The sequence below is a fragment of the Homo sapiens genome, chromosome 2 (assembly GCF_000001405.40).
Source record: "Homo sapiens chromosome 2, GRCh38.p14 Primary Assembly".
Taxonomy (NCBI): domain Eukaryota; kingdom Metazoa; phylum Chordata; class Mammalia; order Primates; family Hominidae; genus Homo; species Homo sapiens.
In genome coordinates, this window is record NC_000002.12 from 120752889 (window position 1) to 120765304 (window position 12416).

The window sequence follows — 12416 nt, forward strand, 5'->3', positions numbered from 1 at the left end:
GTGTGTCTGGGCGGGATACCACTGTATGGTTATACCATCGGTTATTTAGTAGCTATTGATGAACATTTGCCACTATAAACAAGGTTGCATTGAATAACCTTATGTCATTTCACATACATGAATATCTCTTTGTAGATAAATTCCTAGAACTTCTGGGTGTAAAACTTCGGGGTATAAGGGTGGGTGTTTTTTTTTTCTGTACGTATTTTTTTTTTTTTTTTTTTGAGACAGAGTCTCGCTCTGTTGCCCAGTCTGGAGGGTGCAGTGGCACGATCTCAGCTCACTGCAACTTCTGCCTCCTGGTTCAAGGGATTCTCGTGCCTCAGCCTCCCAAGTAGCTGGGATTATAGGCGTCCGCCACCACGCCCAGCTAATTTTTGTATTTTCAGTAGAGACAGGGTTTCGCCATGTTGGCCAGGCTAGTTTCAAACTCGTGACTTCAGGTGATCTACCTGCGTCGACCTCTGAAAGTGCTGGGATTACAGGCGTGAGCCACTGTGCCTGGCCTCTCTACGGATTTTAATCTTTGCAATTTGATAGAAGAAAAAATCTGGTTGTTTCAATTTTCATTTTTTAGCATCAGTAATATTAAATATTTAAATACTTTATTTTATGTTGTATTTTCCTGTGTGTTTGTTAGTTGCTTGTGTTTCTTAGCAATTTTTCCGTCAGTGTCTTTGTTTTTTCTTAAAGATTTGTACGTTTATCATAAATTAAAGCTATTTCCAGGCTGGGCGCGGTGGCTCAAGCCTGTAATCCCAGCACTTTGGAAGGCCGAGGCGGGCGGATCAGGAGGTCAGGAGATCAAGACCATCCTGGCTAACACGGTGAAACCCCGTCTCTACTAAAAATACAAAAAATTAGCCGGGCGAGGTGGCGGGCGCCTGCAGTCTTGGCTACTCGGGAGGCCGAGGCAGGAGAATGGCGGAAACCCGGGAGGCGGAGCTTGCAGTGATCTTGGCTCACGCGGTGAGCCGAGATCGCGCCACTGCACTCCAGCCTGGGCGACAGAGGGAGACTCCATCTCAAAAAAAAAAAAAAAAACAACTATTTCCTCTGCTTCTCACATGTTACAAACATTTTTTTCTTGTGCCATCTCTATTAAAATTGTGTTTATGTTTATAGATTTAGGGGTACGAGTGCCGTGTGTTATGTGGATATATTGCGTAGTGGTAAAGTCTGGGATTTTAGTGTAACCATCACCGTATAGGGTACATTATAACCATTTGGTAATTTCTCATAAGGGTGGGTGTTTTTGTACTTTAGACAGATATTGGTAAATCACTTTCCATAGAAGTTTACACTCCCACCAGCAACGTACGAGAGTGCTTATCTGCCCATATCCACATCAACAGGGAGTGTTATCAAACTTGTCGATCCTTGCCAATCTGATAGTTGGAAGAGAAACTATGTTTCAGCGGAGTTTTTTTTTAAAAATGTACAGTTTGATAAAGTTTGACTCGTGTGTGCAAACCATCACCATAATCAAGATAATGGACATATCCATCATCCGCAGAAGTTTCCTCATGCCCCTCTGTAATCTGTCCCCCCACCCCACCCCCTGGCCTTCCCTGGCAACCACTGATCTGCTTCCTGTCATTTTCCAGAGCTTATAAAAGTGGAACCATACAGGATGTCCTCATTTTTGTCTGGCTTCTTTCACCACAATTATTTTGGAATTCATCCATGTTGCTGCACGTATCAATAGTTTATTCATTTTTATTGCTGAGTAGTAGTTCATCATACGGATATATCATAATTTGTTTGTCCAGATGCCTGTTGATGGATATTTAGGTTGTTTCCAGTTTTGGGCTATTACAAGTGAGGTTGCTTTGAACATTTCTGTATAAGTCATTGTATGCGCATGTGCTTTCCTTTTCTCTTGGGTAAACATCGAGGAGTAGAATGCCTGGATCATAGGTAGGTGTGTCTGGGCCAGAGGGTTGGTATATTTAACCATTTTTTCTTTTTTTTTTTTTTTAAGACAGAGTTTCACTCTTGTTGCCCAGGCTGGAGTGCAATGGCGCAATCTTGGCTCACTGCAGTCTCCGCCTCCGGGTGCAAAGGATTCTCCTGCCTCAGCCTCCCAAGTAGCTGGGATTATAGACGCCCACCACCATGCCCAGCTAATTTTTGTATTTTTAGTAGAGACGGGTTTCACCATGTTGGCCAGGCCAGTCTTGAACTCCTGACCTCAAATGGTCTACCCGCCTTGGCCTCCCAAAGTGCTGGGATTGCAGGCATGAGACACCACACACAGCCTATTTAACTTTTTAAGTAACCACAAAACTGTTTAATAAAGCAGCTGTACCATTTTATATTCCCACCAATGGTATTTGAAAGTTCCATTCCTACCACATCCTAGGTAATACTTGCAATAGTTAGTCTTTTGAATTTTAGCCACTTTTATAGGTGTATAGTGATATATTATTGTGGTTTTAACTTGCATTTTCTTAATGACTAGTGATGTGATTCTTTTGGTGTGCTTTATTGCCACCTGTATATTGTCTCTAGTGAAAAGTCTAAGAAAATCTTTTGCTCAATTTTTTTTTTAACATGGGTTGGTGGTTTCCTTATTGCTTAGTTTTGAGAATTCTTTATATATTTTGGATAGAAGTCTTTTGCAGATATCCCAGCCTGTGGCTTATCTTTTCATTTTCCTAACAGTGTCTTTTGTAGACTAAAGGATTTTAGTTTTGATGAACTCCAGTTTGTCAAATTTTTCTTGTATATATCATGCATTTGGAATTTCATCTAAGAAATATTTGCCTAAATTGAAGTCACAAGGATTTTCTCTTATGTTTTCTTTTAAGAAGTATTAAAGTTTTAGGTTTTAAATTTAATATATGATATATATTAAATTAAGCTAATATTTGTATATAATACAAAGTATGTATCAAAGTTCTTTTAAAAAATTGTTCCAGCCCCATTCGTTGAAAAGATTATTCTGTCCGCATCAACTTGCCTTTGCACCTTTGTAAAAAAATCTGCTTCCCATATATGTGTGGGCCTATTCTGGACTTTCTGTTCTATTCTTTTGATCTATTTGTGTACATTGACAGTGACAGCACACTTTCTTGGTTATTGTAGCTTTATAACAAGTCTTGAAGTCAGGTAGCTTAGCTCTCTAAGTATTCTTTTTCTTTTTCAGAGTTTGCATTCTAGGTCCTTTGCATTTTCATATGAATTTTGGAATCATCTTGGCAATCTCTCCAAAAACCCTGCTTTTAAGATTTTGATTGAGATTGTGGTAAATGTAGATGTATTTGGAGAGAATTGACATCTTAATAATATTGAGTAATCTGGCTCATGAACGAGGTATGTCCTTCCATTTATTTACATCTTCTTCATATTCTCCTAGCAATGTTTTATAACTTTTAGTGTACAAGTACTGTACATCTTTTTTCAGATTTATTCTAAGATATTTTATGTTTTTGATACTGTTGTGTTATTTTAAAATTTCAATTTGCTAATATTAAAGAATATAATTGGTTTATTTATATTGCTTTTATATCCTGCTTTTTGTAGATTTTGTCAGATTTTATACATGTGTTTATGTCATCAGTGAATACAGATAGTTTTACTTCTTCCTTTATAATCTGAATTCCTTTTATTTAGTTTTTTGCCTTTCACTGGCTAGAACCTGCAGTACAATGTTGCCTAGAGGTAGTGAGAGTTCTTATTCTTATCTTGTTTTTGATCTTAGATTGGATAACATAATAAATTTCATTAGTTGGTTTTCAACTGTTAAAACAGTTCTTTAAAATTTCTTTTGTGTATTTTGAAGCTCTGTTATTAGGTGCATAGATGTTTAGGATTGTCATGGTATCAGATGACTTTCTTTATCATCTCTACTAATATCCTTTGTTCTGGCTGCTTTTATGATTTTCTGTGGGTTTGTAGTTTTTATCAAATTTGGAAAATTTTTAGCTTTTATGTCTTTAAATATTTCTTCTTCCTATCCTCTATGTTCTGTTTCTCCTTTGGGGACTCCAGTTACATGTATATTAGGCAGCTTGAAGTTATCCCACAGCTCATATGCTCTTTTTTAATGTTTTATTCTGTTTATAATACCGGATAGTTTTTGTTGCTATTTCTTCAAGTTTACAGATCTTTTTTCTTCAATGTCTAATCTACCACCAATTCCATCTAGTGATTTTTCATCTCTAGAAGTTTGATTGGGTCGTTTTGTATCTTCCATGTCTCCACTTAACTCTTTGGACACAGGAATTCATTTATAACTACTGTTTTCATGCTCTCATCTGCGAATTCTAACATTTGTACCTGCTCTGGCTCAGTTTTGATTGATGTTTATTTTCCTCATGTACTTTTCTGCTTTTTTTTTTTTTTGGCATGTCTGGTAATCTTTGCTAGATGCTAGAATATTGTAAGTTTTATCTTATTGGATGTTGAATATTTTTGTCTTACTATAAATATTCTTGAGCTTTCTTCTAGGATATGATTCATTTACTTGCAAAGTTTAATTTTTTTAGCTTTGTTAGATGGGACCAGAGCCTAGGGCTAATTATTCCTTGCTATTGAGGTAAAATCCTTCAGAGTTCTCTACCCAAGGCTGTGTGACTTTTGAGGTTTTCCAGTCTGGCTGGTGGGCATAGGCACTGGCCTTGTCTACACTGGGCACTCTTCCCTCTCATCCTCTCAGCTGGATCTTTTCCTGGCCTTGGGGCAAGAACAGTATGTGCTGATTCTATTCTGCAATGCTCCAGGGGGACCCTCTGCAAGTTCACCAATGTTCCCCTTCTGTTCAGCTCTTCCACTGGTCTGGTGTTCTGCCATGCAAAACCCTTCTTACCCTGGTCTCCCTCCTCTCCAACTCCATCTCCATCTCCTTAACTCAGGAATCCACCAAGCTCTGCCTGGTTACCCCTCCCTGTGCCGTGGCCTGGAAACACTCTCTGGAAAGGAAGCTGGGGCAGGCTAAGGCTCACCTCTTTGGTTTTCGTTCCTTCATTGCCTGATGTTCATTGTCCTGAAAAGCCATTGTTTCCATGGTTTTGCTGGTTATTTGATGGTTTTGGGAGGGAGGTTACATCTGGTCCCTGTTATTCCATCTTGGCCGAAGCAGAGAGCTCACCTTGCACTTTTCTCACTAGCAGGGCCTTTCTGATTTTAAGTGGTGTGAGTGGTCCACTGTAAGGATAGTCCTCACCCTGATGTGTTTAAGACCTGACGGGAGAGGCTGGTGTGGCCAGCGGGTGTGAGGAGGGATGGCTGGGGAGAGGCCTGAAGCTGACAGGGGCAGGGACATCTCACCACTTATCCGGGCCGCCTGGCCTTGAGGGACTAGGCCTCACAGAACATCTGTGTGGGCTGGAGGTTTGCATTTTACTCCTAGCACCACACACAATCTCAGCAGCTTTTCTGAGGGCTTTGTGCACAGCTGAGCGTGGGAGCTGCATCAGGGCAGAAAGCCCCAGAGTGCTCAGGCTTGCCAGCAAAGGCACTCTTCCATGATGCTGTCATGGGGAGAGGGGAAAGCGGAAGTGGGAAGGGCCTATGTGAATGGTGCTGGCTGGGAGGCCTGGCTTCCTCCCCCTGACCGGGCCTCTCAGACCTGGCTGCAGGACCGAGGACCCTCTCTTGTGAGGGAGTGCTGGGGCCTAGGCACAGATGTTCAGCCTGCGCCCCTGGCCTGCCTACATACCTAGGAGAGGGGAAGCCACGGCCAGGCCCAAGGCCTAGACCCAGGGCTCCCTATAACGTCTGAGCTCAGCTACACAGTGGAAAATGGAAAATATCTGCTCGGCCTGCAGCTTCGGGCGGGGTGGCTGTAAATCATCCAGGAGGCTGTGAGAGCTGCCCTTGGGCCTCCTTGGCTTGCGGGTGAGGGCCGTGGGTGGGCCCTGGGGAGCCCACCATCCAAAGGTCAGGCCAGGCCAGCCGTGGGAGAGACAGAGTGAGGGTCAGCGGGCCCCAGAGACTGGCCACTCCTACCATCTCGTTGCACAGAAGGGGAGGGGCAGTGGTGGTGACTTTTCCAGGGACATACAGCCTGATCAAGGCTGAGGTGCAGCTGGCCTTCCTCTCCCCTCTGGAGGAAGTGGACACGATGACTGGGGGCCAGGCCCTTTCTGTGCCCAATCCTGCATGATCTTCCCTGCACCCTCCCCCACCCCCACACTGGCAGGTTTCCTTTTGCTCATGGAGCTGTGGTTGGCCATGTGAGGCCTCATGAGCAAATGCAGCAGCAGAGCTGGTCTGAGAATGTAGGAAGAAACAGACTCAGTTTCTCTTACACTCTCACTCTGTCAACACAGAAAACATGTGTGACCAAATGTGTGGGGGTTTTTCTCCATACCCACGGCAAGCAAGCACTTCTGCCGTGAATACCAGCTAGGTGTCCTCCAATTCAATTCAGTTTTGACCCTGTCTACCTGCAGACAGCATCAGATCCCACAGGTTGAGAGCTCAGTCCCACAAGACCGCCCCACATCTGTGGCATCCCACAGATGCCAGTCTCAAGTACAGGTTCTTCAACTACCTGTGCTTCTGACCAACCAGCTATAAATCTGGGTTCCCATGCCGCCTTCCTTGGGTTTGATTAATGTGCTAGAACAGCTCACAGAACTCGGGAAATACTTCTGTTTGCTGGCTTATTGTAAAGAATATTACAAAGGATAAAGGTAAAGAGATGCACAGGGTGAGGCATGGGGGGTGGTGCAGAGCCTCCATGCCCTTTTGGGTGCACTACCTGTTAGGAACCATGTGCTCAGCTATCTCTGGAAGCTCCTGAACCTAGTCCTTTTGGGTTTTTATGGAGGCTTCATTACTTATGCATGACTGATTAAACCGTTGGCCATTGGTGATCAACTTAACCTTCAGCCCCTGTCCCCGCCCCCGAGGTTGGAGGTAGGGCTGAAAAGTCCTAACCCTCTCTTCTGCCTTGGATTTTCAGGTGACCGGCTTCCATCCTGAAACTACCTAGGGCCTACCTAGTTACAGTCAACTCATCAGCATACAAAAAGACACCCATTTCTCTGGAGATTCCAAAGGTTTTATGCCAGGAAACAGGAGGAAGACTAAATATGTATTTTACAAAATATATATTTTACACTATCACAGCTGGACAGTTAAGCCTGTGTGTCCTCAGGTGAGAGCCCTGGGGGAGCTCTTGGATGAGGGAGGGGCTTTAGCCCTGGGGCTGCCCCTTGTGAGATTCTCCAGTAGCATCCCCCGGCCTCCCTCCCTGCAGTGTTGGGTAAACCTCCCAGGGGCAGGGTGATGGGCCAGCTCTGTTGCTCCAGGGGAGGCCCTGGCCCCCGTGGGCCTCAGTTCCTGTCTCTGTCTGATGAATGGGATGTGTTAGATAGTCTGGGGCCCATCCCAACTGTACAACTTCTCGGAGGCTCTCCCTTTTTCCTGGGATATAGGTCCTCCTAGGGATGCCAGGCCAGTGGAGTGGTCTTATGTGGGGGGTCCAAGGAGGTCTGGGGCCTCCCAGGTGCCATCGCTGTGCTTTTGAGGGAAAACTGAAAGTCTGAACCTTCCCAGGACTGGAAGGGACAAGTGATTTCCCAGGAAGTGGAGGCAGGGTGGACCCTTCCCCAGGCCTGGAGTGACTTCTGGAGGTTGTGTTAGGAGATTTGGGGGACTCTTCCCCTTTGGCACTTGTATGTAGAGACATATGTTTAGATGTTTCTGGGGAGGTGACCACATTTGAATCATCACCTGAGCTCCTTGGTCATTTGTCTCAGACCAGGGATGCAGCGTCCCCCTGTCTGCCTGCCCGCATGCTTGGTGCCACTGAGCCTTGCTTGGTTAGCTCTTGGACCACAGAAGTCAATCTTTTCCAGTGGCTCAGGCCTCGTCTCTGTCTCTTTTGGCTCTTTTTTCTCATGCCCCTAAGTTCGGTGGTGTCTGCCTCCTTGCAAAAATCAAAACAAAACTGTCATAATGTTTTCAGGTCCTTGTGGAATGCCACCCTTTAATTCCTCTTCATTAGGCATGCTTTTCTCCTCCAAGCCTGTCCCGAGAAGGTTCTCCTGACCCTGAACGCCCTCTTGCGCAATCCTGCTGGGCAGCCCAGTGACTGTGAGGTCTGCTGAGGTGGGCCTTGTCCTGCACAGGAAAAGCAGGGTGGGAAGGAGAGCAGAGTGGCTGGGCCTGGATGCACCTTGGGGTTGCTGCAGTGAACGCTGTGGCCAGACATTTCTTTCCATCTATGGCTGGTTTGGATCTTGGTGTAGTTTTACAGGTTTTCAAAATAAAGGAGAATGAGGTGGCAGGAAAAAGACAGGTGGCTAGGGACGAAGATTACCTTGTTTACCAGACTCCACTGGCTGCATTCAGGCTAGAATCTGGGCTACATGGGTAAACTTGGGGCTTGACCCAGGGATGGGGACATATGGGCTGGGTGGGGACATGAGTGGACCTGAGTGGAGAGAAGAACCGGGAAAGCAGCCATGGGCTTGTTGAGATCCCAGAGCCCAGGAGGTGAGACCAAGGATTCCCACCGCCCAGCCCAGGAGGTGAGACCAAGGATTCTCACAGCCCAGCCCAGTGGGTGAGGCCAAGCATTCTTATGGCCCAGCCCAGGGGGTGGCTGCTTCTCTCCCTGTTCTTTTCTCCCCACCTCAGATTGGCTCTAGACAAGGTGGACAGAGGAATTTGCAACTGGAACCCAGAGGGGGTGTGTGTGCAGAGGTGGAGGGCGTAGTGGGATAGAGAGGGCTAGGAGGAGTGTGGAGGCAGAGGCAGAAGGGTCTGGGGGGTCGGGGGTTGGGAGAGCACTTAGTCCCAGCCCGGGAGAGCCACCTCCCCTGCCTCCCTCAAGCTGCCGGCCCGTTGTTTGCTCCTCCAGCTTCCTGCCTGCCCCACGGTGCTGGGAAGGAGCAGCTTGTGCCATTCCAGGATGCCAGGCCCTTCTCTCCCCAGGGCTCTGTGTTGCTCCAGTGCCAAGGACAGCTTTCTTGGTGTATGGCTTGGGGCAGGGACAGGGGCTCTGGGGAGGCAGTGATTGCTTGTGGGGAGGTTCTGCACCCTCTTGGTCCTTAGCCAGAGGGAGCAGCCTCCAGAAAAGGGTTATTCCCCTTCTGCAGGGGCAAATTAGAACATTAGGCAAAAGTACAGAGTGAGTTCCCAGTGCCGCTTTGCTTCAGCACAGCTGATGGCAGACATTCAGATAATGAGATGCACCCACGGAGCCGGGCAGTTCTGGTGCCACACTCTGCTGGGGGCACAGGGAAGTGGCTGCCACCCATACCCAGGGACATAATGAGACCGAGTAGCCCAAGCTGGTGGCAGTCATGGCCTCTAATGATGGGTCTCCGGCTTAGGGGTTTCTACTGGGGCAGGGTCCCTGGCTCTGGGGGATGGATGGGCCTGAGGCTGGCCTTTGCAAGGGGTCAGAGCTTGCTAGGGACTTTGCCTGTGTTTCTCATTGAGTGACCTCAGCACCTAACTTGCATGGTGGTTCCTGCTGGTAGACCTGTTTCAGAGATGAAAAAACGGAGGTGCCACATCCTTAAGGTTCCCATCTGGGACCACAGAGCTGTAAGCCTGCCCGCTGGAATTTGCAGGCAGGTTGGCTGGTGCCAAGGCTGGGCTCTCTCCCCAGTACCAGGGTCCACAGCTGAGTGACTGAGACAGGCAGGAGGAGAGTCACAGGAAGGGGCAGGTCCCAGGAAGGCACAAGCACACCTCTTCCTTATAGCTGGTGGGGAGCCCTGTCTCATCTGCAACAGACTCAGCCGTTCCCTTCCTGTGCCTCCGCGTCTCCCTGAGAAGGTCACAGGCCTCCCCATCGAGAGCGTCGAGGGCCTGCAGCTAGTGTAGGCTCAGCACCAGCCCCCAGGCCCTGGCCCCTGTCTTCGACCATCCCACCATCCCACCATGAAAGGAAGGCCTGCAGAGACGTGGCTGGGTCTGGCTGCCTTGGGGGCTTGGCTTCTTTCCCTTTAGTGAAGGCACAGGGCTAAGGAGACACCTGAGGGCCCTTGGTTCAGAAGTGGACAGAAGTGGAGTCCTGAGCTGAGTGTTGTGAAGTTTCGGCGCTGAAGGGATCCGAGGAGGAAAGGCTTCAGTGGCTGGGGACTCGAGAGGACTTTGAGGCCAAGGTTAGGGGTTGGCAGGATGAAGAGAAGGACAGGGCTTTCCATATGGGGGACCACATGGGCAAAGCCCTGGGAGGCTCTGGAGCCTGGCATACTCCGACTGAGGGGCAGCCCTGCTCCCTCTCTGTTTCCCACTGTGCTCTGTTGTTACCTGGACTTAATCTTGGGTTCTCTGAATGTGCCCTTCCTGCCCCCACCACAGGCCCTTTCTTGTGCCTCCCTCTCCTCTGGGTCTGACTCCTATCAGATTGCTGCTATGCTTTTGATTGATTAACTGGCTCTCAGATCTGTGTGTTTTCTTGACCTAAAGGAGCCCCTGTCCATTATCAGTGTTTGCTGAATAAACGATTGAATGAATGAATGAGTGGATGGATGGGTAGATGGATAGATGGAATGGATGGACACATTTGTTGGATTGAGGGGACTTGAAGGCCTCCACAGTGGCAGGGCCACTAGGCAGAGAAAGCCTGGGGAAGTGGGGATAAAGGGAACTGTCTCTTGGCAAGAATCTGATCCATCACTGTGGATGGGCTTGTCCTGAGCAGCAGGCTTGGTGGCAGCCAAGACCAGGCATCCAGTGGGTGCTCTGGGGGGCTCACTGCTGTCTGGCCCTTGGGGAATGCTGTAGGGGCCAGCTCAGAAACCCCGTGTGCTGTGGGTCCACTCACCCACTCCCCTGCAGACAGAGGGGCCTGCCTTCTACTCACAGCCCTCTGGGCAGAATGACAAGAAGCCACGCCCTGTAGCCATCGTGCCCTCTTGCCCCACGCCCGGAAGCATTGCCGGGTTCTCAGGACCGCTTTGCTGAAGGGGCGGAGCATGGACTGGGCCTGCCACTGATGTGTCTGTGGGTGGGGCTGTGAAAGGCAAGTCAGGACCAAAAACAAAATTATTTTCAAAGGTTTTGGGGCAGGATCCATCAAAGGAGTGGGTTTTGTCAACAAGTGGGCCTTTTATGCTTCCCAAGCCAGCCAGGGCTTTGCGAAGCCAGTGTGTCCGGGGAGATAATTGCATAGCCCTGTGGGGACATCTCCCTCTAAGAACTTTCCTACCGGGTCCCAAGAAGAGCCACACTGGTGATGTGGGCCCTCCATGTCCCCCAGGCCTTGTGCACTGGGCAGAAGCCCCCTTGGTTCTCCTGCATTGTCACCTGGACATGCCTGCTGACTCTCAGGGCTTCAGGGAGGGTAGGCTCTGCCCTGATGGCACTGGGCACAGAAGAGGTGCCAGCGAAGTGGCAGAGCTGACTGGCGGGCTCGTGGCGCAGCCGGAGGCTGCAGGGGACACCTTCCACCGTGCTGGGGAGGGAGGTTACAGGATCTCAAGACTGTCCAGAGGAGACCCAGAATTCACCTCCAGGCGGTCAGGAGCAGGGTTTCTGGTTGTAGCTTCTTGACACGCTTGTGAGATGTGTCCCCAGAAATTTGCTAAGCTAGGTACACTTCAGGTGTTTCTGTGAATGCTTTAATCTTTTAAAAAAAAGAGAACGGATTACTTCCAGGTTTGCCTTTGCATGTCACCCTCACTTGTATCCCTTACTTGAGTGGGAGTGAGTGTCCGGGTCACAGCTGGGTATTGGAGGGACCACTGGCTGCAGACAAGCCTGACTTGGTGTCCTTTGCTCTGTGTTGTAGAAGGGAACAGGGTTGCCCAGAGTTTGCTTTTCATTCCCCTTTGCGCAGGCTGCTGCAGGTAGAAAGGGCTGGGGTCCATGTGAATGTGGGAGAAGCCACGTGCTCTGTGGTTTTTCCAGATGTTAAAAGTGCGTGTTGCTATTTCGAAGACTCTGAAAAATCCTGAAGTAAAGAAACTTTTTGCATGTTTGCCCAGCATTTCTAAAATTCACATAACGTGGAACATCTGACTGGGAACAGGAAGCTGTTGTGTCCCAGAGCTCTGTGCTTGTCTAATAAAAGGCTTCTGAGTTAGCTCTAGTGTCTTTGTGTTAGCTCTGCCTTTGTGTCTCTTGAGGAAATGGAGAGCTGTAACATTTTGTTCATTTGTTCACCGTCCATTCATGCAGTATTTGCCCAGCAGAAGTGGCAGAGGTGGTCATCACTCCTCTTCCTGTATGTGGTGAGCGCCACCTTAGTTCCAGGCACCATGACTCCTGCCCTCCCTTCCTCCTACCCCCTTCAGGAGGCTTTCCCTGAACCTCCCCCTGCCCCTGGGGCTGAGGGCTCCTCTCTGCTGGTCCCACTGTCTCTCTAGACCCCAGTCTGGGATCCTTGGGCCTCTCTCATGTGCCCTCAGGGGACAAAACCCCACTTCACACCCTGAGCCCAGTCCAGTCCTAGCTGCCACTGGGAGAGGGCAGACGGGCCGCCTGTCCTTTTCCTTGCA

At 48.6% G+C, this 12416-nt stretch overlaps 1 protein-coding gene across 3 annotated transcripts in view, besides 2 other annotated features; it reads left to right on the forward strand.

Moving 5' to 3' along the window:
- Positions 1–12416, forward strand: part of GLI2 (GLI family zinc finger 2) — a 256786-nt gene that overhangs the window by 17021 nt on the left and 227349 nt on the right. The window lies entirely within an intron of this gene.
- Positions 390–905: an enhancer, noted in NCBI's record as "H3K4me1 hESC enhancer chr2:121510854-121511369 (GRCh37/hg19 assembly coordinates)". NCBI's record gives its function as "activates a minimal SCP1, AML or CMV promoter by ChIP-STARR-seq in primed H9 embryonic stem cells {active_cell/tissue: H9 hESC(primed)}" and the evidence as "EXISTENCE:reporter gene assay evidence [ECO:0000049][PMID:30033119]".
- Positions 5517–6378: an enhancer, noted in NCBI's record as "H3K27ac-H3K4me1 hESC enhancer chr2:121515981-121516842 (GRCh37/hg19 assembly coordinates)". NCBI's record gives its function as "activates a minimal SCP1, AML or CMV promoter by ChIP-STARR-seq in naive H9 embryonic stem cells {active_cell/tissue: H9 hESC(naive)}" and the evidence as "EXISTENCE:reporter gene assay evidence [ECO:0000049][PMID:30033119]".